This window comes from Homo sapiens, chromosome 2 (genome assembly GCF_000001405.40).
Source record: "Homo sapiens chromosome 2, GRCh38.p14 Primary Assembly".
In the NCBI taxonomy this organism is placed as follows: domain Eukaryota; kingdom Metazoa; phylum Chordata; class Mammalia; order Primates; family Hominidae; genus Homo; species Homo sapiens.
In genome coordinates, this window is record NC_000002.12 from 74,656,511 (window position 1) to 74,684,114 (window position 27,604).

General features: G+C 44.1%; 1 protein-coding gene across 16 annotated transcripts in view; it reads left to right on the plus strand.

Moving 5' to 3' along the window:
• SEMA4F (ssemaphorin 4F) overlaps positions 1–27,604 on the plus strand; it is a 55,165-nt gene that overhangs the window by 2,264 nt on the left and 25,297 nt on the right. For 4 of the 16 annotated variants that reach the window (NM_001436846.1, XM_047442926.1, XM_011532477.4 and 1 more), the window contains exons 2-13: positions 24–175; positions 1,055–1,114; positions 1,343–1,441; positions 6,222–6,315; positions 16,947–17,066; positions 17,167–17,318; positions 17,988–18,166; positions 18,378–18,525; positions 18,652–18,874; positions 19,015–19,124; positions 19,239–19,399; positions 22,766–22,824. In NM_001436846.1, the coding sequence (NP_001423775.1) occupies positions 24–175; positions 1,055–1,114; positions 1,343–1,441; positions 6,222–6,315; positions 16,947–17,066; positions 17,167–17,318; positions 17,988–18,166; positions 18,378–18,525; positions 18,652–18,874; positions 19,015–19,124; positions 19,239–19,399; positions 22,766–22,824 (1,557 nt within the window). Of the gene's footprint in view, positions 1–23; positions 176–1,054; positions 1,115–1,342; positions 1,442–6,221; positions 6,316–16,946; positions 17,067–17,166; positions 17,319–17,987; positions 18,167–18,377; positions 18,526–18,651; positions 18,875–19,014; positions 19,125–19,238; positions 19,400–22,765; positions 22,825–23,088; positions 27,332–27,604 lie in introns of those variants that run through there. The other 12 variants (XR_007068742.1, XM_011532475.4, NM_001436847.1 and 9 more) reach the window with 10 other exon arrangements.

A 27,604-nucleotide genomic window follows, 5' to 3' on the forward strand; every position in this document is an offset into this window, starting at 1 on the left:
TCACTCTCCTCTCTTCCTGCCAGAGGCTGACTCCTGTCTCACCCGGTTCGCAGTCCCTCACACATACAATTACTCTGTTCTCCTTGTGGATCCTGCCTCCCACACACTTTATGTTGGCGCCCGGGACACCATCTTCGCTTTATCCCTGCCCTTCTCAGGGGAGAGACCCCGCAGGGTGAGAGACAAGAGAGGGAAGGACCCCTGACCCTGTAGCATGTGATTAAATCTATGATTTTATGAGTGTGTGTGGGGGATTTCATAATAACTAAAGATGTAACAGCAGGGGTAGTAGGAGGGGGTGAGTTGGGAGACATGGGGGGAGATCATCCACTTTGTTTTCTTAGCTAAGAGTATGGCGGGTCAGGGTGACTGGGGAGGATATGAAGGAGGTTCATGATGATGGGGAGGAGACCACAGTGACCAGGTTTCAGGTGACAATGGGCAGAGGGATCATTAAAATTACAATACTCTAGGGAAACAGCTTTCAAACTTTTTTTTGACCATTATTAGAACTATACAGTTTGAGCATCCCTAATCTAAAAATCCAAAATTCAAAATACTCCAAAATCTGAAGCTTTTTGTGTGCCAACATGGCACTCAAAGGAAATGCTCATTGGAGCATTTTGGATTTTGGATTTTCAAATTAGGGATGCTCAACCAGTATGTATTCTGCGAATATCCCCAAACCTGAAAAAATCTGAAATGTAAAACACTTTTGATCACAAGCATTTCAGATAAGGGATGCTCAGTGTATACTGTGTATTGTGGTACACAATTATGTACTGAAAGAAACCTTTCTTGAAACAATATCTACCTCTTATATGTGATACATTTTGATATATTCTATTTCATTAAAAATAATGTTGGTCATGATTTCAGAATTGATTTTATTACTCATTAATGGGTGGGGACCTCCATTTGAAAAACAATGCTCTAGGGGGACTTTTGAAGTTCCCAAATTGATGGAGGTTATAGAACAGTTTAATCTCCTCTAACATCGAGGGAGTTTGATGTTAGGGGAATCTGGGTGAAATGATCACTTCTCCTTTCTCAGATTGACTGGATGGTTCCTGAGGCTCACAGACAGAACTGTAGGAAGAAAGGCAAGAAAGAGGTAGGTGTAAATCTGAGCCCTGTCTTGAGTGTCAGTTGAGACCTTGGCCCAGCCCTGACTCTCAGTCCCCTGTAATGCTTCCATACCAATGGGCCCAGGCAGAGACTCTAACACCATGCCATCACCCATCATCTCTGATCCCAAAGCTGCATCTAACTGTCCTGACGTTACCTTACCCTTCCTCGTACCTGCTGCTTCTGATTCTTTCTAACCGTCTCTGACCCCCAGGACGAATGTCACAATTTTGTCCAGATTCTCGCCATTGCCAATGCCTCTCACCTCCTCACTTGTGGCACCTTCGCTTTTGATCCGAAGTGCGGGGTTATTGTGAGTGACGGTGTGGGAGGAGAGGGAGAGGGTGCCTGCACCAGTGTGAGTTACTTGGGGTGGTGGTGGGAGGATGGGAAGGGTTTTCTGTGAGCGACCATGATGGGGGCATGGTCAAGGCAACCATTGTGCATGATAAGCATTGGGTGTAGGGGCTGTCCTCATGGGATGAGGGTATGTGTAAGCCACTGAGGGAGGGAAAGGGAGGTTGTCTGGAGAGGGTAAGATATACAAAGTGTGAAGAGAGACATAGTGGGATAGTTAAGGAAGTTAGGGATGCTGGTTGGGCTGGGGAAACAACAAATCCAGGGAGAGACTTCAGAAACCAGAAACTCATGTTTCCCTTGCCCTGTGTATGCTTTGTCCAGGCAGCCTGTGTCCATTTCTTAATTAGTACAGCCCATTGCCTGTTTCTTCCTTTCACAGCATGTGACTGTCTCTTACCACCTTCTCCTACTTCCACTGCCAACCTCATTGTATATGGGCTGTGAGTCTCTCCTCTCATGGCTTCTGATGTCACTTCCACTAATGTAATATCTGCTGGCCCCATATTCTGGATCTTGCCTTCAGGGCGGGCACTCTGTCAATCATGTTTTCTTATAGATCCTGTTTATTGCTGCTGAAGGCCTGGACATCACCAGCCTCAAACACAGGCAGGCTTGGGACATGTGTATCCTAATCACATCTAGGCTAGTCATGATCTCTGGGACTGATGACTGTTTCTGAATTCTCAGCTTTTCCCATCTGTTACACAGTAGTCAGCACTGGTCTTTTGGCAGCTCACATTTGTGACAAGCCCCTGGCGTGAGTCAGAAGCCTCACATATCCTTTATATCCAGTGGCTTCTCTTTCTGCTCTGTAGAGCAATAGGAGGGAGTATAACTGCTCCCTTTTTTGACCTCATCCTTAACTGTAGATCTTGTCTTGACTCTTCTGCAGTCCTCAGTAATCCCTGCCACCTGGATCAAGTCAGTGTGTATCTCTAAACCCCTCTTTGTTACATACCACCCTCATATCTCTGGCTTAGGATGCTAATCATAATCATATGCATGATTGCTCCAGTTAGTCCCCCTGGGCTGCCTTGGGGTGGGTTGGACTTATGTTAAGTCCTTTTCATAATGCAGGTGATACACACTCCCTACCAGCATCTGGATAGCTCCCTCATTCTGGAAAGGTTCGCAGTTCAGGGTGTTGGTGAAAATCTCTGTATTCCCTCAGGTAACATTGAGGTCTAATTTCCCTACAGTTCTCCTTAAGTTTATAAGGTAGCAATGGTACTGCCATTGCCATATTTGTCCTTTTCCATTCTGCCAGGCTTGGGGATCCCATGGGTATGAATCCCAGAGCCATGGCTTATAGACAGTGTGATTGTTCTAAGTTAGTCTCCTAGGGCCTTTAATTCTTCCTTGTTTCTCTGAGGTGGGACTCTAGTGGTTGTTACATAAGGTATCTAGACAGAAAATGTTCTTTCTGGACATACCTGTCAGGATTGGTGTGACTTGGATGCCTATCTCTTCTTGAGGAACATCAGCAATGAAGAGTGAAGCCAGGGGTCTGTGTCCTGAGCTCCCAAGAATTCAGCTCTTTTCCTGAACTCTCCTGTCTAGCAGGCTTATGAAATGAGGGCCCATCCTTTGGTCAAGGCTTGTTTGAAGGAGAATATAGAGACTAGCCGCAAGAGGTCAACTCTGGTAACCCTTTGAGCCACATCCTGTCTGCTCTGTAGACGTTTTGAAAGTTCTCTTCTGCCTTAACCTGTCTTATCCTACTACCCAGCAGCCCCAGTCTGCTTGACCAAGTTCTTCCTTTATCCTCACTGCTGAACCTCTCATGTCCTAGACTGATGACTTTGAGACTGTATATAAACAATTATCTGAGAGCTTTGTTCCAGACATAGCAACTTGATCAAAGTTGATTGTGGAGAAATGAAGGTTCTTACATAAAGGAAATTCCAGCATTGGATCTAAGGGCTCCCACTGTGGAGTGCTGTCCTTCAGTGATAGCTCATTGGACATTGGAGGAAAATATCCTAATTTGTTTTGTTGAGGGACCTCTAGCAGTTAACAGAGAAAAATGTTAGACTTCTAACAACAACAACAACAAACAGCAACAATGACAACCATTCAGTTGAGTGTCTGCTCTGATGAAGACTTGGTATTAGGTACTTTACATTAAGGATTAAGTTTAATTCTTATCACCACATCATGATATTTAGGTATTATTTCCATTTTACAAGTAATGAAACTGAAGTTCAGAGAAATTAAGTATTGTCTCTAAGACTGAATAGCTAGCAGAGGCAGAACCAAAATTTAAACCTGTGTTTGTCTCTGGCTCTGTTCCACTATCCTGTCCCTCTAGTCTAGCCTGCAGCCCAGAAGACCTTATCTGTCTTCAATTTCTTGTGGCATTTGATGTGTTTCATGTACTAGGAACCATCTTTCTTTTCTTTGCTTTTTTTCTTAGCCACCTGGGAAAGGTCCTTCCTATGCCTTAAACTCCTCTTGGCCAAGGCCAAAGGACCAGTTCCAACCCATAGCTCAGAGAGAGCCTTCCTGTCCAGCTCCAGCTTTCAGCTTCAGGGACTTTGCTTTACCACAGCTGATTCTCAGAGACTATGCTGCTGACTAACACAATGATGATACAATGAAGAATCTCAACATTCAGATAGATAATATAGTGGAGTGGTCATGTCTCTTTCAGACCCGAGTTAAATGTCATTTTGACCATGCAATAATCATAACCTATCTAGTTAATAGGAGGCTCACCTCTTCAAAGGTTAGAAACCTGGATGATATGATGATGCTGCTGGGGAAAACTGAAAAAGAACTAGTTTCAACATATTGAGTTTTAAGGGGCAGATAGGAAATCTCTGTGAGGAAGTCCAGCAGTCAAATAAAAATATGGGCTAGAGTTTAGAAGATATCAGATTTGGAGAGTTTGGGGAATGATTTGCATAGAATATCTGGCTGGAAAGAATGAATGAGATCTTTGAAGCATATGTGAAAGCTACTAAAGGTGGATTCTTAGGATACACATGTGGGAGCTAGAAAGAAGAAGAAGGAAATGGAGAAATAACAGATAGGAGGGATTCCAGAAGGGCAGAGTTTCAGGAGAGTCAAGGAATAGAATATTTCAAGGAAGGGAGTGAGTCAAAAGTATCAAATGGTGCATAAGGGTTAAAGAGAATGAGAACTGAGAAAAAGTTCATCCCTTTAGTCCTTGGAGAAATGTAAGGCAGTAGTTATAGGCATAGAAAACATTATTTGTCTTCCAGGAATAACAGGTGATCTGGTTTGGATAGAACAAAGGTCATTTTGAAAAGTAGTTGAAAATAAGTAGGTTTGGCTGATGAGGTTGTACTCCAGGCAATGGTGGACTATTTTCTCATTCTCTTGCACAAAAAGTTATTATTAAGTCAGTGACCAATACTTCAGATTAATCTTGGGTGGGTATTAGAATAACTTGGTTGGTGGGGGTGGCTAGATGATGTGGAGAAAGGAGTTTACTGCCATGGTTTAGGTGAGAGGTAAGAAGGGAAGCAGCAGCAGGTAAGTACCACATCTCTAGAGTGCCCAACCATCTTGTTAATCTCTCACCAAACCCATCTTTCTTCTCAGGTGAGGATGCTCCCACTGTCACACAGCTGGAGTGCTGTGCCTCTGTGGAGTCCTCCATTCCAGCAGACTCTTCTGACCCAGCATTCCGTTTTTGGGGACTTCAAAAGTTTTAACAGGCCTTCTTCCAGACTCTCAGTAAAATAGAATCTTGTTTGCCATCTAGAACAAGAGATGAGTAATCGGAGTGGGCCAGTAGTACACTTATTTTTCAGGGGATATATATCGATATTTCTGCAACAGCTACCATGGAAGTAATTAGGCTCCAATGACACCATATGCCCACGCCAGTTTGTGAACTAAAGATATCATCCCTGGCATTTCCGTGCCATAACTTTGACTCTCAACCAGCCACTGTTAACTTCCCTCTCAGTCCTAGGTTGAAATCATCCTTGTTTTTAGATGTTATCTTGAAGCCTCTCTTAGTGCCAAATGCTAGACTAAGGTAACTTCTGGCTGGCCCTGATGAAGCTCTTACACCTCTTGTTCCTTGCCCATGTCAGTCCCTCTGGAGTCCCTGGGTGAGGAAGGTACTTACTACCAAACTCTCACATTCTGACCTGAGCTTCAGGTCATTCTTTACTGACTTTGCTGGTTCCCCTGTCCTCTGCCCTTGGTCGTATGATGCAGCTCTGTCTTTCATCCTTGGGGTGGGGAATAGGAGGAGGATGGCCCTTGTCTCTCTAGGCCTCTGGGTTTCAGATGGTCCTTTATCAGCCTGCACTTTTCTTTGTCCTTTCTAAGGTTTCCAGTCCTCAGGAGGCCTGCTTTCTTCCTGATCCTTCTTGTCATGTAGCATATTCTCCAGCCAGTTACAAACCCTACAGTTCAGCAGTGTTTCAGAGGAAAGACCTACCTTCAGCCTCTTAGGTGCTTCTTGGGCTGTCCTAGGAATTTCTTCATCAGGGCATGTGGGTGTTGGCTGCTGGGGGAATTGAGGGAAGAGGAATAAACTGATGAACAAAGGATAGCAGAGATGAGAAATGCAGGAGTAGATGGGGGCATCAGGAATAGCTGACTGGTAATATGGGGATGATAGTTGGGGGTAGGGAGTGGAAGGGGAGAGGAATGGGAATTGACCTTTTCCTTCATCTGACCATCTTTGTAATTCTCACCATGAACCTTCCCTATGACCCCTAAACCAATTGCCCCCTTCTGGTCTATAGGATGTGTCCAGGTTCCAGCAGGTTGAAAGACTTGAGAGTGGCCGGGGGAAATGTCCTTTTGAGCCAGCTCAGCGGTCAGCAGCTGTAATGGCTGGTGAGTGGGGAGAGACAAGAACCTGTAACTTCTTGCTAATTGCCTCCTTCCCCACCCTTGCTGTTAGAATTTCTGTGTTCTTTCTTACCTTGGAATGTCTATTATTCTCATGTCTCTTTTTAGCCTTTCCTGTTCTTCCCTGAGTGCCTGTGTAACCACCTGCTTTTCCCCACCTAGTATGATATCCCCAGGATTCTCTCCACAGAATGTGTCCTCTGCACCTCTAGTGTAATGTTTCCTCTCTTAACCTCATTTTCTTTTCTCATAGTGTTTTTATTCCTGTTAATAAGTGGAATATACTACAATGCATATTGTAATAAATTTGGAAAAAGTATAAAGAAGAACATGAAGAAAACTTCTAGAACAGCACTTTCCAAAAGAACTTTATGTAATGATGGAAATGTTCTACATCTGCACTGTCCAATACAGTAGCCACTAGCTATTGTGGCTATAGAGCCCTTGAAATGTGACTAGTGTGACTGAAGGAAGGAATTTTAAATAGTATTTAATTTTACGTAAATAGGCCTGTGTGTCTAGTGGTACCGTATTAGTGTAATTCTAAAATATCTCTACTTAGAAAATTATTGCTAATATTTTAGGATATTTCCTAATACCCTGTATTCGTCCATTTGTGTTGCTATAAAGAAATACCTGAGACAGGGTAATTTATAAAGAAAAGAAGTTTATTTGGCTCATGGTTCTGGATGCTGGACATGAAGCATAGTGCTAGTATCTCCCTCTGGTGAGGTCCTTAGGAAGCGTACAGTCATGGCAGAGGGTGAAGGGGAGCCAGTGTGTCACATAGTGAGAGAGGGGGCAAGAGAGAGAGGGAGGAGGTGCTTTTTTAAACAGATCTTTTGTGAACTCAGAGTGAGAGCTCACTCATTACTGCCAGGACAGCACCAAGCCATTCATGAAACATCTGCCTGCATGACCCAAACACCTCACACTAGGTCCACCTCCAACATTGGAGGTCACATATCAATGTGAGTTTTAGAGGGGACAAAACATCCAAGCCATATCATATCCTAAATGGATATTAATGTGTGTGCACACCCATGTACATTCATGCACATACATTTGCTGCCAGTCCTTTGTTGCTCAGGGGAGTCAGTAATGACTATTAAATAAATTCCTGCTAGTACTTCTTTTGAACAAGCTGCCTGTGATTCCTCAAGTGTGAAATGATTCTATCACAAACCTAAACCTCTTCTGGAGAATGACTGTCTAATTTATTAGCAGCCACACAGCAAATTTTTTTTGTGCCACATAGCCTGAATTTTAGGTCAGACCACCCAACATGCACCTTCCAAATTCAGTGAAAAGCCATTTTCTTGTGGTAGTGTAAAGCAGGTTAATGGAAATTTTATGAGCATGTGCACAGTATAAAACTTTTAAATGTCATGCTACATGGATGTAATTTTGAATTTTGTCATGTAATTTTATATCACAGGCATTTCTATATAATTTAAAAATTCATTGTAAAGATAATGTTTAATGACATGTTACTCATTCTGCTAACCTACCATGAATTAAACAATTCCAAATTATTTATATAAATTTAGTTAGTTCAAAGATTTTGCTAGTATCCATATGACTGTAATGAACATCTTTGTGCATAAATTTTTGCTCACATTTTAGGTTGTCCTCTTAAGATTCCTAGAAATGGATTACTGTATCAAAGGGTGTGAACATTTAATGGCTCATTATCTGTTGCTAATTGAGTTTCTAGAAAGGGTATACCAATTTACACCCTAAATCAGCAGTGAATGAGAGTGGCTTTTCTCTCACATAAATTTCACCAGAATGTATTGTTGTCATTTAAAAAAATCTTTGCTATTTTGAGTCTAAAAATGACACCTTGTTTTTATTTGTATTTCTTTGAATATTAGTGAAGTTGAATGTTCTTCATGTTTTAGTACTTATTTTTATTTCTTCTTTGGTAAATCCTCTGCTCATGTTCTTGGACCAGTTAAGAGGTAGGATATTAGTATTTCAATTACATATCTTTTCCTTTGTGATTGTATATAATTTTTAAGCTCAATCCTTCACTTAAAGAGCAGATAACATTTTTTCTTAAAAATTTTTTCCAAACATATAACTCTTTGATCTGTTAATATTTGGCATTATTTTGATGAATCGCATGAGGGGGGATCTAAATTAATTTTTCCCAGCTAGCTAATCAGTTGACTCAGCATCATTGATCATACTGTTTTTTTCTTTCCTTGCTGACTTTTTTTGCCAACTTTATCATAAAATTAATTTTTACCTATATTTTTGGGAAATATTTTATGTTAAACAAAAATTGGGACACAAGATCTAACAATGAAAATTTTTTCCTATGCATGACTTTATTTTTTAGGGAAAGTTTTAAAAGCTATACAAATTAAATCACTCTTTTTCTTTTTTTTTTTTTTTTTTTGAGACAGAGTCTTGATCTCTTGCCCAGGCTGGAGTGCAGTGGCGCAATCTCCACTCACTGCGAACTGCACCTCCTGGGTTCACACCATTCTCCTGCCTCAGCCTCCCGAGTAGCTGGGACTACAGGCGCGTGTCACCATGCCCGGCTAATTTTTTGTATTTTTAGTAGAGATGGGGTTTCACTGTGTTAGTCAGGATGGTCTCAATCTCCTGACCTCGTGATCTGCCCACCTCGGCATCTCAAGGTGCTGGGATTACAGGCATGAGCCACCGCACCCAGCCATTAAGTCACTCTTTAGTCTTATAGTTAATGACTTATCTTTTTCTGAAAAATAAAAAAAAGTTTTTGAAAATGAGCATAAAGTATATATTGACTAAATACAATATTTTGAGTTGTCATGATTATCATTATCTATTGTTGAAATTGATGAGACCTTCCTTATACATGTTTGAATAAAACAATTTAGTGGATAGTTTATTTTTCTAGGTTTTTAATCAACATCTTTGATGACACTCAGAGTCATTAAAGATTTCTGAGTTTTCGTGGTTGTGATATCTCTTGAGTCTATAAAATTGTTTATCAGCAAAATGACTTCTTACTTGCAACACTCTAAGATAATCATTTATCGTACTTTTGTTTCAAGCAGTAATTTTTGTTTTTTTTTTTTTTTGTTTTTTTGAGACGGAGTCTCGCTCTGTCGCCCAGGCTGGAATGCAGTGGCGCCATCTCGGCTCACTGCAACCTTCGTCTCACAGGTTCAAGTGATTGTCCTGCCTCAGCCTCCTGAGTAGCTGAGATTACAGGCGCCCACCACCACTCCTGGCTAATTTTTGTATTTTTAGTAGAGATGGGGTTTCACCATGTTGATCAGGCTGGTCTCAAACTCCTGACCTCATGATCTGCCTGCCTCGGCCTCTTAAAATGCTGGGATTACAGGCGTGAGCCACTGCACCTGGCCTCAAGCAGTAATCTTTAAGCATGTTTAGCCCTCTGTGAGTAATTTCTCTTTATTAGGTCAGCAAGTGAATTCATATTAGAATGTGGTTTAAGAATACAAATTTCCAGTTTTAGTAAATGTGCTGCTGAAGCGAGCACAAGAATACAAATTCCATAAAGATCATTATAAGACAAAGTGGGAGGAACATTTTCAAAAAGGTTTTAAGTCTTTTTTTTTTTTTAAATAAAATTCAGGGTTGCCTTTCAGTTGATAATTGATGGAGGCGATCAGAACTCACTTCCTAATGGTTTAGAATGGTTAGCTTCAGTTAATGTGGAAACTCTATGTCTCTAGCTGTCTCAGATCCAAATCATAGTCAATACTAATATTATACATTTTCATCTGAAGTTATTACTTTACAGGGTTATAATTTAAAAGTTTTTCCTGGTCTGACATAAGTGCTAGCATTTACTTGGGGCTTTCAAGAATGATTCATTATGCCTTGCTTTGCCTCTGTTTTGAAAATAGCAGTATAGAAATAGTGGTAACATTATATAATCATTAGAACCAAAATTCCCAATTAGGTTCTGTAAAAATGTCCTTAAAGATAATAGCAGTATTTTGAAATGAAAAGAGCTTTTAATTATGAAAATATGATTAGAATATAATAGGAGTATTTACTTAAAATTGTAAAAATTACAATGTGCATTGTAGAAAATTGAGAAAATGTAGAAATATATAAAGAAGAAAGTAAAAATGTTATTTGTAATTCTATCATTACCAAGTAACCACTATTATTATTTTGGAGTATTTTGAGTGTTTTCTTCTACTGTGTCTATGTGTCTGCGTATTTATTATAACTTGGAATTATGTATATTTCATTTACTATTGTATACTGAGCATTTTCTCATCATAGAAATTGTTTCTTCAAAACATGATTTTTAGCAGTTGCATACAATTACATAATTTGTGCTGCATACACAGATGGATGTAGCATGACTTAATTATTTCTATATAATTATACATTCAAATTTTAAAATTATTGTTTTTAAACATAATGCTGCAGCAGGAATCCTTTTACATAATTCTTTGCATTAATCTACTTAATTGCATATGAGTCAATCCAAAAAGTGGAATTGCTAGGTGTAAGAGTATAGATTTTGATGGTGCTTGATGGATTTGGACAAATTAATTGCTCTCCAGTTAGTCCTACCAGCAATGGCTACCAGCAGTGGCTAAAGGGCCTGTCCCATTGCCAGTCTCAAGTAATATGTACAAACAAACAGTGACCTCCTACAAAGTCCAGTATGATATATATATTTTGATTGGCATTTCTTTTAGTGAGGTTGAACAATTTTTCATGTGTTTATTGGTACTTCTATTTCTTTTGGGAAAGCCTCCGAAATCTTATTTTCAAATACGAAGTTTATCTGTACTATACTTAGATACAATTAAGTAAATGATCTCATTGTCTTTATTTGCACTATTCTAATTTGGAAAAATATGAATATTTTGACATTCACATTAGCCTAAGAACATCAGTGATTCCTTCTCAGTCTCCTTGACAGGCCTTTTGTCTTCTGCTCATTCTTAAATGTTGGAGTTCCTTAGGCTTCTACCTAAGAGCCTCTTCTCTTCTCACTCTGTGTAGTTGTGATCTCAGTGAGCCCATGGCTTCTGTTTCCACTGCATTCTGATGGCTCCCAAATCTGCATCTGCCTCCTGGACATTACGTGGAGGTACAGACCACACATCCAACTGCCTTCCACACATCTTCAGTTGGATGTCCCACAGGAATCTGAAAATCATCATGTCCCAAAGTGAGCTCATCATCTTTACTCACCTCCCCCAAACCTGCTTCTCTGTCAGTCTTCCCTCCTCCGAGTGTATAGTGCCATACTCACTCAGGTACCCAAGCTAGAGACAGCAGTCAGTTGTCTTTGGGCCTCCCTATCACATCCTATAATAGATAGGGTTTCTATCAAGAAGAGCAGAAGACTGCTCTTTCTCTTTGGGAACCCATCCTGTGTTTTTATTGTATGGTTTTGGTGTCATTGCATCTTGTGATGAACGCATCTGCCAAGGAGCTCTGCAAATGTTCCAGATGCACTGCATGCTGCCAGCATTTTGAGGCCAAGTCTACCTCTTAAATCTCTGAGACTAGCATTCACACATGAAAACAAGACAGCTACAGAAATCCTACATGGCCAACAGAGGGAAAGGTAGAGTCAACACTGCATCTCCAATCATCTAATTGTGCCCAATAATAGGCTTAAAGAATTTTTTTTTTAAAAAATATCCAGCTGGCTCAATCCTTAAATAAGGAAAAGACTTTTTGAGTAGGAGCTATCTATCCTGAAAAATATCTGACTATGAGAAGAAAAGGCAGTGGAAGAAGAAAGGCCAAGGCATGTAAAAAATCAGTTGTGTTTTTTTTTTTTTTGGAGACAGAGTCTTGCTCTGTCGCCCAGGCTGGAGTGCAGTGGCGTGATCTTGGCTCACTGCAACCTCCACCTCCTGGGTTCAAGTGATTCTCCTGTCTTGAAGTGATTCTCCTGTTTCAGCCTCCCAAGTAGCTGGGATTACAGGCATGCACTGCCATGCCCAGCTAATTTTTATATTTTTAGCAGAGACGGGGTTTTGCCTTGTTGGCCAGGCTGGTCTTGAACTCCTGACCTCAGGTTATCCACCCGCCCCAGCCTCCCAAAGTCCTGGGATTACAGGCATGAGCCACCAAGCGTGGCCAAAAAAAAAAAAAAAAAAAAAAAATTAGCTTTTTAAAACTAATGTACAAGGCTAGGTGTGGTAGCTCACACCTGTAATCCCAGCAATTTGGGAGGCCAAGGTGGGAAGATTGCTTTAGCCCAGGAGTTCAAGACCAGCTGGGGCAACATACTGAGACCCTGTTGTTAAAAATTAAAGACGGGGTCTTTAAAGGCCCCATCTTTAAAAATGACCCTGTCTTTAAAAAAAATTAGCCAGGCATAGTGGCGCATGCCTGTGGTCCCAGCTACCTGGGAGGCTGAGGTGGGAGAATTGCTTGAGCCCAGGAGGTTGAGGCTGTTCACGCCACTTCACTCCAGCCTGGGTGACAAAGTGAGACCCTGTCTTAAAAAGTAGGCTGGGCATGGTGGCTCACGCCTGTAATCCCAGTACTTTGGTAGGCCGAGGTGGGCAGATCATGAGGTCAGGAGTTTGAGACCAGCCTGGCCTACACAGTGAAACCCTGTCTCTAATAAAAATACAAAAATTAGCTGGGTGTGGTGGGGGGGTGCCTGTAATCCCAGCTACTTGGGAGGCTGAGGCAGGAGAATCGCTTGAACCTGGGAGGCGGAGATTACAGTGAGCCGAGATAGCGCCACTGCACTCCAGCCTGGGCAACGGAGCTAGACTCTGTCTCAAACAACAACAACAACAACAACAACAACAACAAAAACAAAAGGTAACAAACAAAAAACGAATGAACTGATAATTCCTATTGTAACTCTCCTTTAAAAGGAAGCATTTTGATGCCAGAATAGAAATTTTAAACCCCCAGGCTGTAGAGAAATATTCACTGCCATGACACATGTTTATAGGCTTTCCATTTGGGCAAGTTGGGATCTATTTTTACTCATAATTATGATTTTTCTTTGGCTGTGTTTCTTCGTCTTTTGTGGCTTTCAATGTCTTTTTTTTTGTATTTTCAAAATGAAAATATCTTAGTTTTTTTTGCACTATAAAAGTAAAAGATGCTAACTACAAAAAACAAGGATTATTCAATGAATAATCTTTCCTATGCTTGCAGGCATATATACTTATTTTTTAAAAAATAAAAATAGGGTTGAATTTTTCCTGGTGTGTTTTCTAACCTGCTTGTTGAGCAAACTCATCACTGTGGGAATTACTCGCTTTTGCACATCATCTTTTGCCAATGGCGGATGTGGCCTTGATCCATTCAGCAATAATTTGCCAAACAGTTGTATGGTCAGTGTTATTATATAAGCAATGTATCACAATCACAATATTTGGAATTGAGAGTGTCCTGAAGAGTCCAGGACATGTGATCTTGTGGACTCCTATGCTCAATATTGTAATGGTTGCTATTCCTTCTGCTGTGTAGGGGTGTGTACGTGTATATCTGTCTGTCTGTCTGTCTGTAAGATGAGCTGCAAGCCCCTTCGTACTCTTAGGGCACCTGGAGCCCTGCTACTTGCTCCCGAAGTGTCTGATCCCTCCTGCTGTTTCATGGTGTCAGTGATCCTTGGCTGTTCCACTCTGAGTGACTGCGCACTTCTCAGTATTTCTGAGCTCCAGTGTTGCTGACTCCCACATTGGTCACTTAGGAAGTTTTGTGACCTCTATCTACTGCTGTGTCTTTGCATGGTTATCTGTGGTCCTTTACTGTTTCCAGAATATTTATGATTGTTTTTCTCCAACCCTACGTACCAAGTCACGCTCCCAGCGTCTGCTTTACCACATCTCCTATTCTTAGGGTATCCATGACACGGCTTCTGCCAGGGTTTTGGTTTTAGAGCATTTAATGTGTCATGCTCTTAGGGAACATTTTCAAACTCTGGCCTCTGTGTCAACTTTTCCCCCCTTGGAAATACAGAGGGTTGGCTCATTTGCTGCTCCATTTTCTGCCAGGACCTTTGACCAATACTTGGTTTTTCTTTCCTGAAATTTTCAAGAAGGGAATGGAATATCTTTGTATAGCTTCCCCCTCTTCTGGTGGCAGATCAAGCATATGGCCCTTTGAAGTTTCATAAGGAGCTATAACTAACATGAATGAATGTCAACCATGTGCCAGGCCTTAGCTAGGTCTCTTTGTTTATCTTATTTAACCCTTAGCACTATTCTGAGTGGAAGATGGCATTATCTCTATTCTGCATTTGAGGAACCTGAGGCTTAGGAAATTTACTTTGCCCAAGATCATAGTACTAATACTTAGGTACTAGTATTAATACAAGTACTAGTACTTGGGTTCAAACCCAAGTCTTCCTGGCTCCCAAACACTTGGATTCTTTTTATAATTGCAAATAATGGAATAGTCTCACTTCCCCACCCCAAAAGAAGGCTTTCAGCCCTGCACTGCTGCCCTTGTAGGGCTCTGGCCCTCTTGTTCTCTGCATAGAGTGTTTCTTCAGTGCTGGTTACCTTTCTGGTGCCTGAGACACGCTGCTTCTCTGGAGCATCTGTGACCCCAGGATGATCATGCTTCCCTCCAAGTGGCCCCCCACTCTCTGCTGCTTCCCCCAGTGTGCATGAGCCCTGTGGTTCTGGCTGAGGTTTCATGCACCCGCTTCCAGCACATCAGCCTGTCTTGCTTCTCTGGCCTCTGACTGGATCTTCTCAGTTGCCTTTGGTAGCTCTCCCCTTAAATGAGAGTGCTCTCTTCTGGCTTTACCTTTTTCCTGGGCTATGACTTTCATGTCATGACTTAAGCATGAAGTGTGATGACTCCCAAGTTGCTGACTCTGGCCCTGTTCCCAGGCTCTTCCCTTAATTGCTTTCCAGGATCTCTGACTGATATCCTGAAGGCACTTCAGCCTTAGGATGTGCAACAAGTGGACTTATTTCCTCTCCAGCTGCCTCTTTTATGGGCCTTATTCTATCATTTGCTGGCTTGGTTAATAATGTCACCACTGACTACCATCAGTCTTAGAAGCTAGAAACCTTGAGAGACATTGGTTTACTCCATTCTGTCTCATCTCATGTTCAGTGGATGAATTTCAAATCCTGTTAATGGATTCTACCTCAGAAATACCTTCCAAATCCAGCCCCTTTATTTCCTCTGCCTCTGCCTTACTTTGGGCCTTTCACTCTTGCCTGGACTGTATGAATAGCCTTTTAAGTAGCATTATCTTTTTAAAAAACAAAACTGTTTATATCACTTTCCTCCTAAAAAAAGAAATCTCTGCAGTTTTATTCTTACCTGCAGGGTAAAGTGCATATCTGCTGGCATGGCAGAGCAGACCAACCACAACTGAGTGCCCATCCCCACACCTCCAGCTTCCTCTCTGCTCACTGGCCCTGCCCAGCAGCCTCTCTGCCCCCACATGGCTGAGCATGGCTACCCTCTTCACTGGTTGCTTGTCTTCCTCCCTGAAGTCCTCCTTCCATCTGGCAAATTTCTCATTCCCATACCCAGCTCACATGTTGCCTCTGAGATACTGTTCCCTCAGGTAGATATAGCTGGGTCCCCCATATCTGTTGGTCTGTGCCTCCCGGAATCTGATTACACACTTGTCTTCCTGACTCACATGGGGGTTCTTGGGGCCAGGGATTTACTTAGCACCCGGCACAGTTGTTGTACATAGTAGCTGGTGAAGGCATGCAACCTTGTTCTCTCCAGAGTGCCTGTGATACTCAACACACCTCCAGGGTGTTCATGACTTGGTACTACTCTCTGATTCATTTTCCTCCTACTCATGTCAGAGCCCTTGGTGGTGGTACTCAGAGTGGCTACAGTTCTCTCCCATTCAACCCACAGAGCTGAACCCCCCTTCCTTCTCAGAGTGTCTGTGATTTGTCTCTTACTCAGTCTCCACTATCCCTGGAGCACCTCTGCCCCTCCACTGTACTAGGAGGGAGGACCTGATTCCTTGTTGTTTCTCCTGGCTGCCTGTGAAATCTCCACTCATCTCCTAGGCTAGTATCTCTCAAAGTGAGGTCCTGAATCACCTGCATCCGATTACTCTGATTGCTTCTTCAAAATGCAGGTTCTTGAGCCAAGCCCAGCTCTACTGAATGAGAATTGCTGGCCCAGGGATCTGCATTTAAATCACTTCCCCAAGTGAGTCTAGTATTCTCTAAAATCGTGACTTGTTCCAAAGCAGTGTACGCCCACTAATGTTCAGAAAGAACATTCATTCCCTGAGACATTTACCATAGTGGGACAACTTAAATAAGATTGGGACCTGTTACAAAGCAAATGCCCCTTTTGGAGAGTCACAGTACAATCAGCACATTACAGGATTACTGAAATAGCAACAAAAAAGCCCCAGAGAAACAAGCTTGATTTTTATGAGGGATGCCTTTATTCTCATACACATGGACATTTCTGCACAATATTTTCTTAATCCTGGTTTCCCTGACTGCCCTGGAGCAGTTTATGTCTAGATTTCCTTAATTGCAATAATGCCTGTGATGTGCTCAGCAGAGTCTGGCACTCATGGGTGTTTAGTCCCTGAGAGTCGCTGCCCTGCTTTATGCCCTACTCTGCCTGTGACCTCTGTTGCTTCCCTCAGTGGGTCCCTGATAGCCCATCTCCTCCCTGTCGCCCTGCAGGGGGGGTCCTCTATGCTGCCACTGTGAAAAACTACCTGGGGACGGAGCCAATTATCACCAGAGCAGTGGGTCGTGCCGAGGACTGGATTCGGACAGATACCTTGCCTTCCTGGCTGAACGGTGGGGAGAGGGAGAGGGGTCCTCTGGGGAGACCGATGGGGTGGAGTCTGGGAAGTCCTAGGTTGTGTCTGTGAGGATCTGAGGCCACTGGTATTCCCAGCCCCAGCCTTTGTCGCAGCCGTGGCCTTGAGCCCAGCCGAATGGGGGGATGAAGATGGAGACGACGAAATCTACTTCTTCTTTACGGAGACTTCCCGAGCATTTGACTCATACGAGCGCATTAAAGTCCCACGGGTGGCCCGTGTGTGTGCGGTGAGACCCCATCCCAGCTGTCTGTCTGTCATCTCCTGCTCTGTCTGTCCCCCGTCTTATCTTTTCCTCTTTGGGTCTCTGTCTTTGAATCTCTCCTGTGTCTCCTATTTTCTCTGCCTTGACTTCTCTTCTGGGAGCTTGAGGAATGTGAGAGAGAGGCTCTGGCCTCTTTGACACGCACAATTACCCTTGTGACACACTGTCTACAGTGTAGAGGTTACTGACTAGTGTAGAGGTTAAAGGGAGGAACTGGTGACAGATAGACCAGGGTTCAAGTCCCTGCCCTACCCACCATTTAGCTGCCTTTGCAACTCTGTCCAGGTTCTTTAGTGTCTTTGAAACTTGTCTATAAAAAGAGGATAATAATGATGCCTGTCTGTGAGGGCTGTTTGAGGATTAAATGAGGTAACTTACGTAAAACACATAATACAGCACTTTATAAGGGCACAGTTAACTTAGTCACTGTCATTGTTATTGTGACCCCTTCACCCTCATATCTCATTATCCCCGCAGCTACTCTGTGTGGCTCTCTGTCCTTGCATTTGTATGTATCTGTCTCCCCATCTGTCTGTCTGCCCTGAAGTCAGGGAGGAAACTTAAATTGGTCTCCATGCTCCTTGCCCAATGATGATCATCTAAAGAGAACCTCCCATGTGTTTGTCACCCCAGGGGGACCTCGGGGGCCGGAAGACCCTCCAGCAGAGATGGACGACGTTTTTGAAAGCTGACCTGCTCTGTCCAGGGCCTGAGCATGGCCGGGCCTCCAGTGTCCTGCAGGATGTTGCTGTGCTTCGACCTGAGCTTGGGGCAGGGACTCCCATCTTTTATGGCATCTTTTCTTCCCAGTGGTGAGGGGTCTTGGTGTGGAGGAGAGTTACAGGGTGGGAGATATGTGGGGTTGGCACAATGTCAGTGTTGTCTCTTCCAGAGGGGGCAGGCTCTCCCGCCTTTGGCTGCATGGCTCCCTGTGCGTTTCTCGGGGGTCATCTCATTTGACAAGGGATGAGTTGCTATCCCCCAGACCCCTCCATATATCCAGCTCCAACCTGTGAATTCCAGGGAGGGGGCTACTATCTCTGCTGTCTGTGCCTTCCGACCACAAGACATTCGGACAGTGCTGAATGGTCCCTTCAGAGAACTAAAACATGACTGCAACAGAGGACTGCCTGTCGTGGACAATGATGTGCCCCAGCCCAGACCTGGAGAGGTGAGGGGGCAGATCTTCATTCTAGGCCTGAAGTCAAGAGCTGCTATTAAGGCAAGAGCCCCACTAAGCATCACTGGCATGTCCTGTTCCTGGGAAACTTTGTCACCAGCCCTGTATTTCCTCTAGTGCATCACCAACAACATGAAGCTCCGGCACTTTGGCTCATCTCTCTCCCTGCCTGACCGCGTACTCACCTTCATCCGGGACCACCCACTCATGGACAGGCCAGTGTTTCCAGCTGATGGCCACCCCCTGCTGGTCACTACAGATACAGCCTATCTCAGAGTCGTGGCCCACAGGGTGACCAGCCTCTCAGGGAAAGAGTATGATGTGCTCTACCTGGGGACAGGTATATTTAATGGTCAAGCAGGCTGCCTACCTAGTGCATACACATTCTCGTCACAGAGAGGGTACTGTAATACATATAGGTCTGAGTCCCAGGCACAGGGGCAATTATGTAATTATTCTTGTTCCTTTCCTGTCCCCTAGAGGATGGACACCTCCACCGAGCAGTGCGGATCGGAGCTCAGCTCAGCGTTCTTGAAGATCTGGCCTTATTCCCAGAGCCACAGCCAGTTGAGAACATGAAATTGTACCACGTGAGTTGTAGATTTTGGAGAGTCTATTGGGGAGACATCTGAGTCCAGAGCCAGTTTGTGACCCTGAGGTCTGGGAGATCCAGTGTATTCCCCTTCCCCACTCCGTTTTTATAGAGCTGGCTCCTGGTTGGCTCCCGTACTGAGGTGACACAAGTGAATACAACCAACTGTGGCCGTCTCCAGAGCTGCTCAGAGTGCATCCTGGCCCAGGACCCAGTCTGTGCCTGGAGCTTCCGGCTGGATGAGTGTGTGGCCCATGCCGGGGAGCACCGAGGGTGAGTGTAGCTGCCTGGATTTCTTGCTTACTGTGCCAGGGCTCTGTCCCATCCATATGTCTACGTTTCTCATCTGTTAATGCTGCCCTGCCGGAGGCTGTTTTCTTTTTCTGTCTGTTAGTGTCTACATCACTCGTGTGTCCTTCTGTCAGTCCATACTAGCTCATCTGTTTGTCCATCTAGTGCTACCTCATCAATGTCCTTGCCTCTCTGCTGGACCTGCCTTGACCTGACAGTGTGCCATCTCTAGTGGATGCTGCTTAGTTTTCATCTTACAAGAGCTCTTGGAAGTGTTTTCACAGTTGTCCACTCCCTCTTTCCTTGAAATACTTTCCTCTTGCTCTCTATGACTGCATTCTTTGGTCTCCTTTACTTTCCCATCCAACAACTGAATGTTGATATTCCTCAGGGTTCAGTCCTGGACCCATTCTCTTCACACGTTCATGCACTCTCTAGGCAGTTTCATTCTGGTTACTTTCAATACCATCTGAGTGCTAATGACAACCACAAATATATCTAGTTGAGCTGTGGAACTCCCCATCCGACTGTCTACTTGATATTCCCTTGGATGCTTCATAAGCAACTCAAACTTAGCAAGTCAAAGTATGCACTGTTGTTTCCTCTTTCTCTCACATGCTCCTCCTCTGGTCTTCCTCATTCCAGTAAAGGGACCTCCATGCATCCAGTTGCTCAAGCCAGAAATTGCCCACATCGTATTATGATTTGTACTGATTCTAGCACCCAAATGTCCTTAGTCCACCCTCTTCTGTCCACCTCTACCACTACCACTCTAGTCCAAGCCATCATCGCTTCTTAACTGGACTACTCTAATAACCTAATTGGTCTTTTTTTGACCATTTTGGGCTCCTACCATCCATTTTCCATTTAGCAGCTTAAAAGCATATGTCACGTTGAAGCAAATCCCTGACATTATATCATATTCATCTTAAATATTTCAATATGTATCTCTACTAGATAAGGAGTTTTTTGTTTGTTTGTTTGTTGTTTTTGAGATGGAGTCTCACTCTGTCGCCCAGGCTGGGGTACAGTGACGCCATCTCGGCTCACTGCAACCTCTGCCTCCCTTATTCAAGCGATTCTCCTGCCTCAGCCTCCCGAATAGCTGGGATTACAGGTGCCCGCCACCATGCCCGGCTGATTTTTGTATTTTTGGTAGAGACGGGGTTTCACTACGTTGGCCAGGCTGGTCTGGAACTCCTGACCTCAAGCAATCCACTTGCCTTGGCCTCCCAAAGTGCTGGGATTACAGGTGTGAGCCACTGCGCCCAGCCCAGGACTCTTAAAAACATTTTATTGTGGGAAAGTTCAATCATATCCAAAAGTAGAGAGAATTGTATAATGAATTTCCATGCATCCATCCCTCAGCTTCAACAACCATCAGCTCCTGGTCAATCTTGCCTCATCAGTACGTTTACTCATTCCCAACTACTTTGATGCAAATCCTGGACATCATTTCACTTCATCCATAAATCTTTCTGTCCGTATCTCTAACATACAAGGGCTTTAAAAAAAAACCATATTACCATTATCATACCAAAAACTTACTTTCTTAATGTCATCAAATATCCAGTCAGTGTTCTGATTTCTTCAATTGCATATATTTTAAAAAGTTTATGTCAGTATCCAAATAATGCTTATTAATTGTAATTGGTTGATATGTTTCTTAAGTGTATTTTAATTGTTGAGATCTTCCAGTAAAGTATTTTTAATCACTTGATTCGAAAGTGTTTTTGCAAACTGACCTTGAGATTTCCTATTTTGAAGTCCAGTTAATTTATAGCATATTTGTATACTACAGAACCTCAAGTATATACAAAATCCAGAATATTACAAAACCCCATGGCTACAAATTCTGTAGAGGTAAAAGTACTTGTCTTTTGGAATAAAACAGATTAATTCACACATGTCAAAACAGAGTGAAATGTTTAAAATGGTAACTGATCTGTAGGGCTAGATATGAAAGAAAAAACTGGCATATAATTAGAATAGTCATAACATTTAATTTTGTTTTTCTGATATTTGTCATGAATTATAAGTGTAAAATCTTATGCCGTCTCTTGATCAGATTCTTGACTTTTTGCCAGTTGGGGATATAAAGTAACTCTTGGATGACAGGCTTGGCCAGCTTTGCATTTTTGGTTAAGAACTTTAACCTGGTCTTTTAGTTTTTTGGGGGAGAACTTTTAAACATCTAAGAGAAAAGCAAGGGCTTTATTCTGTCCTTTATTGTTTTAATTTCCATTAAAATAAGAATTCACTGGTCTTAGATATCCTCTATACTTGAGCCTCAAGGATTCCCTTAAGGTATACATGAGTGGAGGGGGGTGGTGGGGAGTGTGGGCTGTGTGTTTATGCCAGTGTTCTGGGTTGTTCTTGTGTACATTGCCCATACCTCAGTTCATCCAAGGGAGAAGAACATAGACTGTGAAGTTCCTGTGGCAACAGCTGTGCATGTGGTCTTCCTGTGTTCCCCACTCTCAGCTAGACTAATCAACCTTGGTTTTACCCAAGAAATTTCCATCTATTTATTCATACCAGTCTTGGGAGCTCATTTCAGGGACCTCAATTCATATTGAAGGAGTTCATACTCAGATGAGTCTGTGTTTGATTGAGGCTTTTTGTGTTCAGACCTTTTCACTGACAACCCTAGTGTAGGGGTCTCATTGACTTCCCAGCCTCTGCGAGTGGTGCCAGAGAGTTCAGCAGTGAGCAGTCCATCTTGCTATCCTCCATCAGATATAGTCCACCCAAATCCTGGAAGTGACAGGACTGTGCCTGGAGCTTCCGGCTGGATGACCCCAGATCCTTTGAAATAACACATAGGCCAGTATATATCAACCACTATTGAAGAGTTCCTTTGTAGAGACAAGTAGCTTTTAGGAAACAAGAAGTCACCTCACTGACCCTAAAGGAATTTTGATTAGCTTCTACAGAAAAGGAGTTTGCTCTTTCTCTTAAATAAGAGAAAAAAAAATCCCTATAGTTTTTATCCTTTTTTTTCCTAGAGAAATCTTGTGGTTGTGGAGAACCAGGTTCATTTCTTAGAAGATTCTGTTTCTTTTAAAGCACCCCCACTAAACATCTTTACAACAGACCTAGTGCAAATTTAGCTATCACTGGTCTGCTAGAAAGATGCATGGAACTTGATATGGCAAATGAAATGTCATGAGTAATATTAAGAGGTATTGGGGAAAAATTTGGTGATGAGGAGAAACTTGACTGATAATTTCTGGAGTGATTTCTGGGATGATGGGAGATATATTGAATGAGGGAGTCTTCAGTAATACTGAGGGGGGTTGAAGGGAATGTTCACACTGGATTTACCAAGCATTCTCTTCTTTATAGGTTGGTCCAAGACATAGAGTCAGCAGATGTCTCCTCTTTGTGTCCTAAAGAGCCTGGAGGTCTGTATGGTCTGTATGGATTAGGGAAATGTGGGTGGAGTGGATGGAAAGGGGCTAGAGAGTTGTTCATTTTGGAACGATTCTAAACCTTGGATCCTGGAAGATGTGGCAGCCAGGAACCTCGGGCCTTAGCCTCTTTAGGAATCCCCTTTTTAGCTTAGTCTCCATAGCCCCTTTTCATGTCCGACATCACCCCACACTTTTCTTCATCACACCTCCAGCCTTTAGCCTCACCTCCTTTTGTGCCTTTGCTGTTTCTCACAGAACGTCCAGTAGTGTTTGAAGTTCCCGTGGCTACAGCTGCGCATGTGGTCTTGCCATGTTCTCCAAGCTCAGCATGGGCATCCTGTGTGTGGCACCAGCCCAGTGGAGTGACTGCACTCACCCCCCGGCGGGATGGACTGGAGGTGGTGGTGACCCCAGGGGCCATGGGCGCTTATGCCTGTGAATGTCAGGAGGGTGGGGCAGCCCATGTGGTAGCAGCTTACAGCTTGGTATGGGGCAGCCAGCGAGATGCTCCGAGCCGGGCCCACACAGTGGGGGCGGGACTGGCTGGCTTCTTCTTGGGGATTCTCGCAGCATCCCTGACTCTCATTCTGATTGGTCGGCGTCAGCAGCGACGGCGACAGAGGGAACTTCTGGCTAGAGACAAGGTGGGCCTGGACCTGGGGGCTCCACCTTCTGGGACCACAAGCTACAGCCAAGACCCTCCCTCCCCCTCTCCTGAAGATGAGCGGTTGCCGCTGGCCCTGGCCAAGAGGGGCAGTGGCTTTGGTGGATTCTCACCACCCTTCCTGCTTGATCCTTGCCCAAGCCCAGCCCACATTCGGCTAACTGGGGCTCCTCTAGCCACATGTGATGAAACATCCATCTAGAGCTGGGCAAATGACCACTAGTGTATAAGTGATCACTGGAACGGAGTGACCACTGAGATGCTGGGGGTCACTGGGCCTGGAAGACCATCCCAGCCTCTGAGTTCTCTTTGAGTATGAGTGATTACTTGGATTTTAGTATCTGTTCTCTCTGAGCCTGGATGGGCTTGGGGCCAGACCTTTGCCTGATTCCTGATTCCCATGAGAAATCAGAACTGCTTTCTGCAGCAAATCAGGGCTTCCCCCTAACATCTGAACTCCTGTAAACCTTCATCCCTGGCCCCCTATCTTGGGCCCATTAGTTTTGGGGATGGGGCACAGGGCATAGCTATGACTTTGCTTTCTGGTTGGAGCCTGGCCGGAAGGAAGAGCCCTGGAGGTGGTTGGGGGCAAATGTGCCCTGAGTCCTTGGGGTGGTTCTGCTTATTCTTCAAGTTTATCTGAATCTGTGGGGAGTGCATGATCCCCATGTTGCAATATGGAGTCTCTGCCCTGAGATCTTCCCCATCTCAGTTTTCCTTCCATGAAAGAGTACGTGTAAATACATAGTGTTCATAAGAGACCTGGCCACATGTGCATGAATGACTGGGCCGATGCTTAGGAATATTTATGAGGGATGGGGAGGGAGACAATTGGAATGGGGGCGTTGCCTGCAGAACTTTAGACCCTGTAGCCATAGAGGGAATGGCGTTCCTTTCTAAAAGGAACTGAAACACTGCCCCTCTCCCCATTGCCCCACAACCTTACTCTAAATTTGAGTAGAGAAAAGCTCCTAAAGTGACCTTCCGGGTGGGAAGGGCAGCAGTACACATGACCCCATCCTTTTCTTTGTTTTTACCCCCTGGCTGCCACCACTGCCATGTCACAGCTGCTTTCTCTGGCTGGAGTGTAGGCTGTACCCCATTTCCTTGGCTCCCATTAAAAATCAACAACATTCTAATGATTAGGGAACAACAGAAGGGGAACAGTCATAGGATATACGAGCAGTATAAAGATACGTTTGCAATCAGTGACTACTCAGGGTGACACCCTTGCCCTAAAGCAGGAGTCCCCCCTACCTGGGGTCCATGGACTCCCTGAAATTGTATGCAAAATGTTGTTTGTACATGTGTGTCTGTATGTCTCTGTGGGGAGGTTTTATGGCTTTTGTCAGATTTTCAAGGCCTTAACAAAGTTAAAGGACCACTGCCCTGAGGTTACTGCACTGAGGCCAAGTTAGGATGGCATCACTCTGTGGCAGCTCTCCCTGGACTTGCCCTGCCTGGAACAGGGTGATTTGCTGGAATGGAGTTACCACTGAGATGCCAAAGGTTGCTGGGTCTGGAAGACTGTTGTGGCCTCTCAGTTCTCTTTGAGTCTGACTGACTGTGGCCAGTCCCTGGACTGGTAGCTGCTGGAGGCCTTCTTGTTTCTCCAGTCCCTGGAAGCTGAGCTCTATGTGTATTTGATGACATTGTCAGCTCTTACCAAACGTCAAGACCTCTTCCTGCTTGACCACTCGCACATGGCTCTAGGCTTCTCCTGCTGAGTCCTGGTCTTGGCCTGTGAATGTGCCTCGTTCATCCCTGGTGCTTGAGCCCCTCAAGCTCCAGTCAATGATCCAGTCCTTCCCCTTTGAAGTTTTCTGCTCTACTTTCCTTGGCAGCAGCCTGTGAACTACTCAAAAGAGTCCCCTTGGGTTTGGAATTATCAGTGGCTTTGCCACTAGTAAATGTGTGATCTTCGGCAAGTAACCTAACCTAGGGACATCAGTTTACTCATCTGCGAAGTGGGGATAATAAAACCTACCTCAGGGTTGCTTCAAGGATTAAATGAGAAAATATGTCAACAATAAAGACCTGTCTGTACCAATAGATGTTGTTATTGCAAAAATGGGCTTACTATCCATAACCATATAGCTTAACTATATGATAACCATGACATTCGTAGGCTGGGCATGGTGGCTTACGCCTGTAATCCCAGCACTTTGGGAGGCCAAGGCAGGTGGATCACAAGGTCAGGAGATCGAGACCATTCTGGCTAACACGGTGAAACCCCGTCTCTACTAAAAATACAAAAAATTAGCCGGGCGTGGTGGCGGGGGCCTGTAGTCCCAGCTACTCGGGAGGCTGAGGCAGGAGAATGGCGTGAACCCGGGAGGTGGAGTTTGCAGTGAGCCAAGATCACGCCACTGCACTCCAGCCTGGGCAACAGAGCAAAACTCCGTCTCAAAAAAAAAAAAAAAAGATAACCATGACACTCGCAATCATATTAAGCCTCACTCAGTAAAGGACAGTCATTGTTTCACAGATATCCTGTTCTGGGTCACCTCTGGACAGCTCATAGCTGCTGGTTTCTAGGTTTTAGGAGGCAGATCTATGATTTTTGTAATCCTCAGACCTGTCTGACCTTAGTGGCCTGAGATCCCTTTGTATAGAATGGAGGAAGGCTGTGTGTTCTTTGGTTTACCCTCAGCCTATCTTTCAACCCCACTCACTTGAGGTTGTGGCCTAGTTCCTCTTTGGGGGAGGGAGGAAGGTGGGGAGATGTCAAAGGGGACTGGGCTTCCTGTGGGGAGTGGGAGAGAAGAGTTTTTCAAGGAGGAGAGAGACCAGGGCTCTTATACTCTGGGCCACTATCTGCCTGCTCTAATCACCTAGGGCCAGGCACCAGACAACTAGGGATGGCCTCTTTACCCCAAAGCCTGCTGAAATTACTCAAACTAGCCAATCCTAAGTCTGCCTACCCTGCCTCAGTCATTCCTTCCAATGGAAACCACAATAAGCACTCTTGCCCACGTTTTCCCTGCTCCCTCTGCATCCCAACTGACCCTGGTGCTTCCCCATGTGGCCCCTGTATAGTGTGCTTTGCCTCCTGTTTCTAGGGACCTGTGAGTATCAGCTTTCTCGATGACAGTCATTTCTGTGTCTATGTGTCTTATTATACCTTATTAAAACAAACCTGGGTACATTTGTAAGACAGCAGGGATTCTCTGAAGATTAATGATTGAGAAGGATGATTGGACCTGTCTAGTCAGGGAGGCTGAGGCCTCAGGCCTTCATTAGGCACGTTGCATGTCTGTCAAGTAAGGGCCACTAATCACCTCACATGGGTTCATCTGAACTTTATGCCAGCCCAAAACACGAGGACGTGCCACCCATCCTCAGCACTCTCAAGACACACTTAAGTGTGTTTGATACGTAAGCTCCAATTCCTTCCTCCATAAGAAGAGAGAAGGCAGAAGTGGCTTTCCCCGAGGTGAGGACGGGGATGGGAGTTTTTTCTTTTGAGTGATGTAGACCTATGCCCTGCTTCCATGCCACTTCCTCAGATGTGACAGACCTCTGCTGGGATGGAATGTGTGTTTGCTGGAGACAGCTGTGGCATAGAGGATTGTGAGAAAGGGTCCCCATGCTTGGTGTGGAAGGAGGGAGCTGCTCACCCTCTGTATGGGCTTGGATGAGGAGCTTCTCAGCGGCAGTCATAAGAACCAGAGGATTTTCTGCCCTTTGCTGGGAGCCACATGAGCCCCCTGGATTCATGTGGAATTCTTGGGAGAGGGATGACCACCCTGAAGATGGCTGAGATCAAATATCTCATCAGATGACTGGATGCTTAGAATCGGGTTAACTTGATTAAATAAATAAATAGAAATAGTTTTTGTACCTATGAGTTTGTGGAGAAAAATTCCTGCCCACTATACTAATATCAGCATTTCTAAAACGATCTGTCTGGAGCATATGCGTGATGAACCTACCTATAGATAGAGCAGAGTAGCTGTAAATGGGGTGGAGTTGAGTGAGCACCAAGTGCTCAAAATGAAGAAAGAGGACTTCCCTCCAACCTTTTGCAGGAGTCATCCCCCTAATGCAACTTCTCCCCACACATATCCACCAAATTAACTTTTTTTTTTTTTTTTTAACCAGACA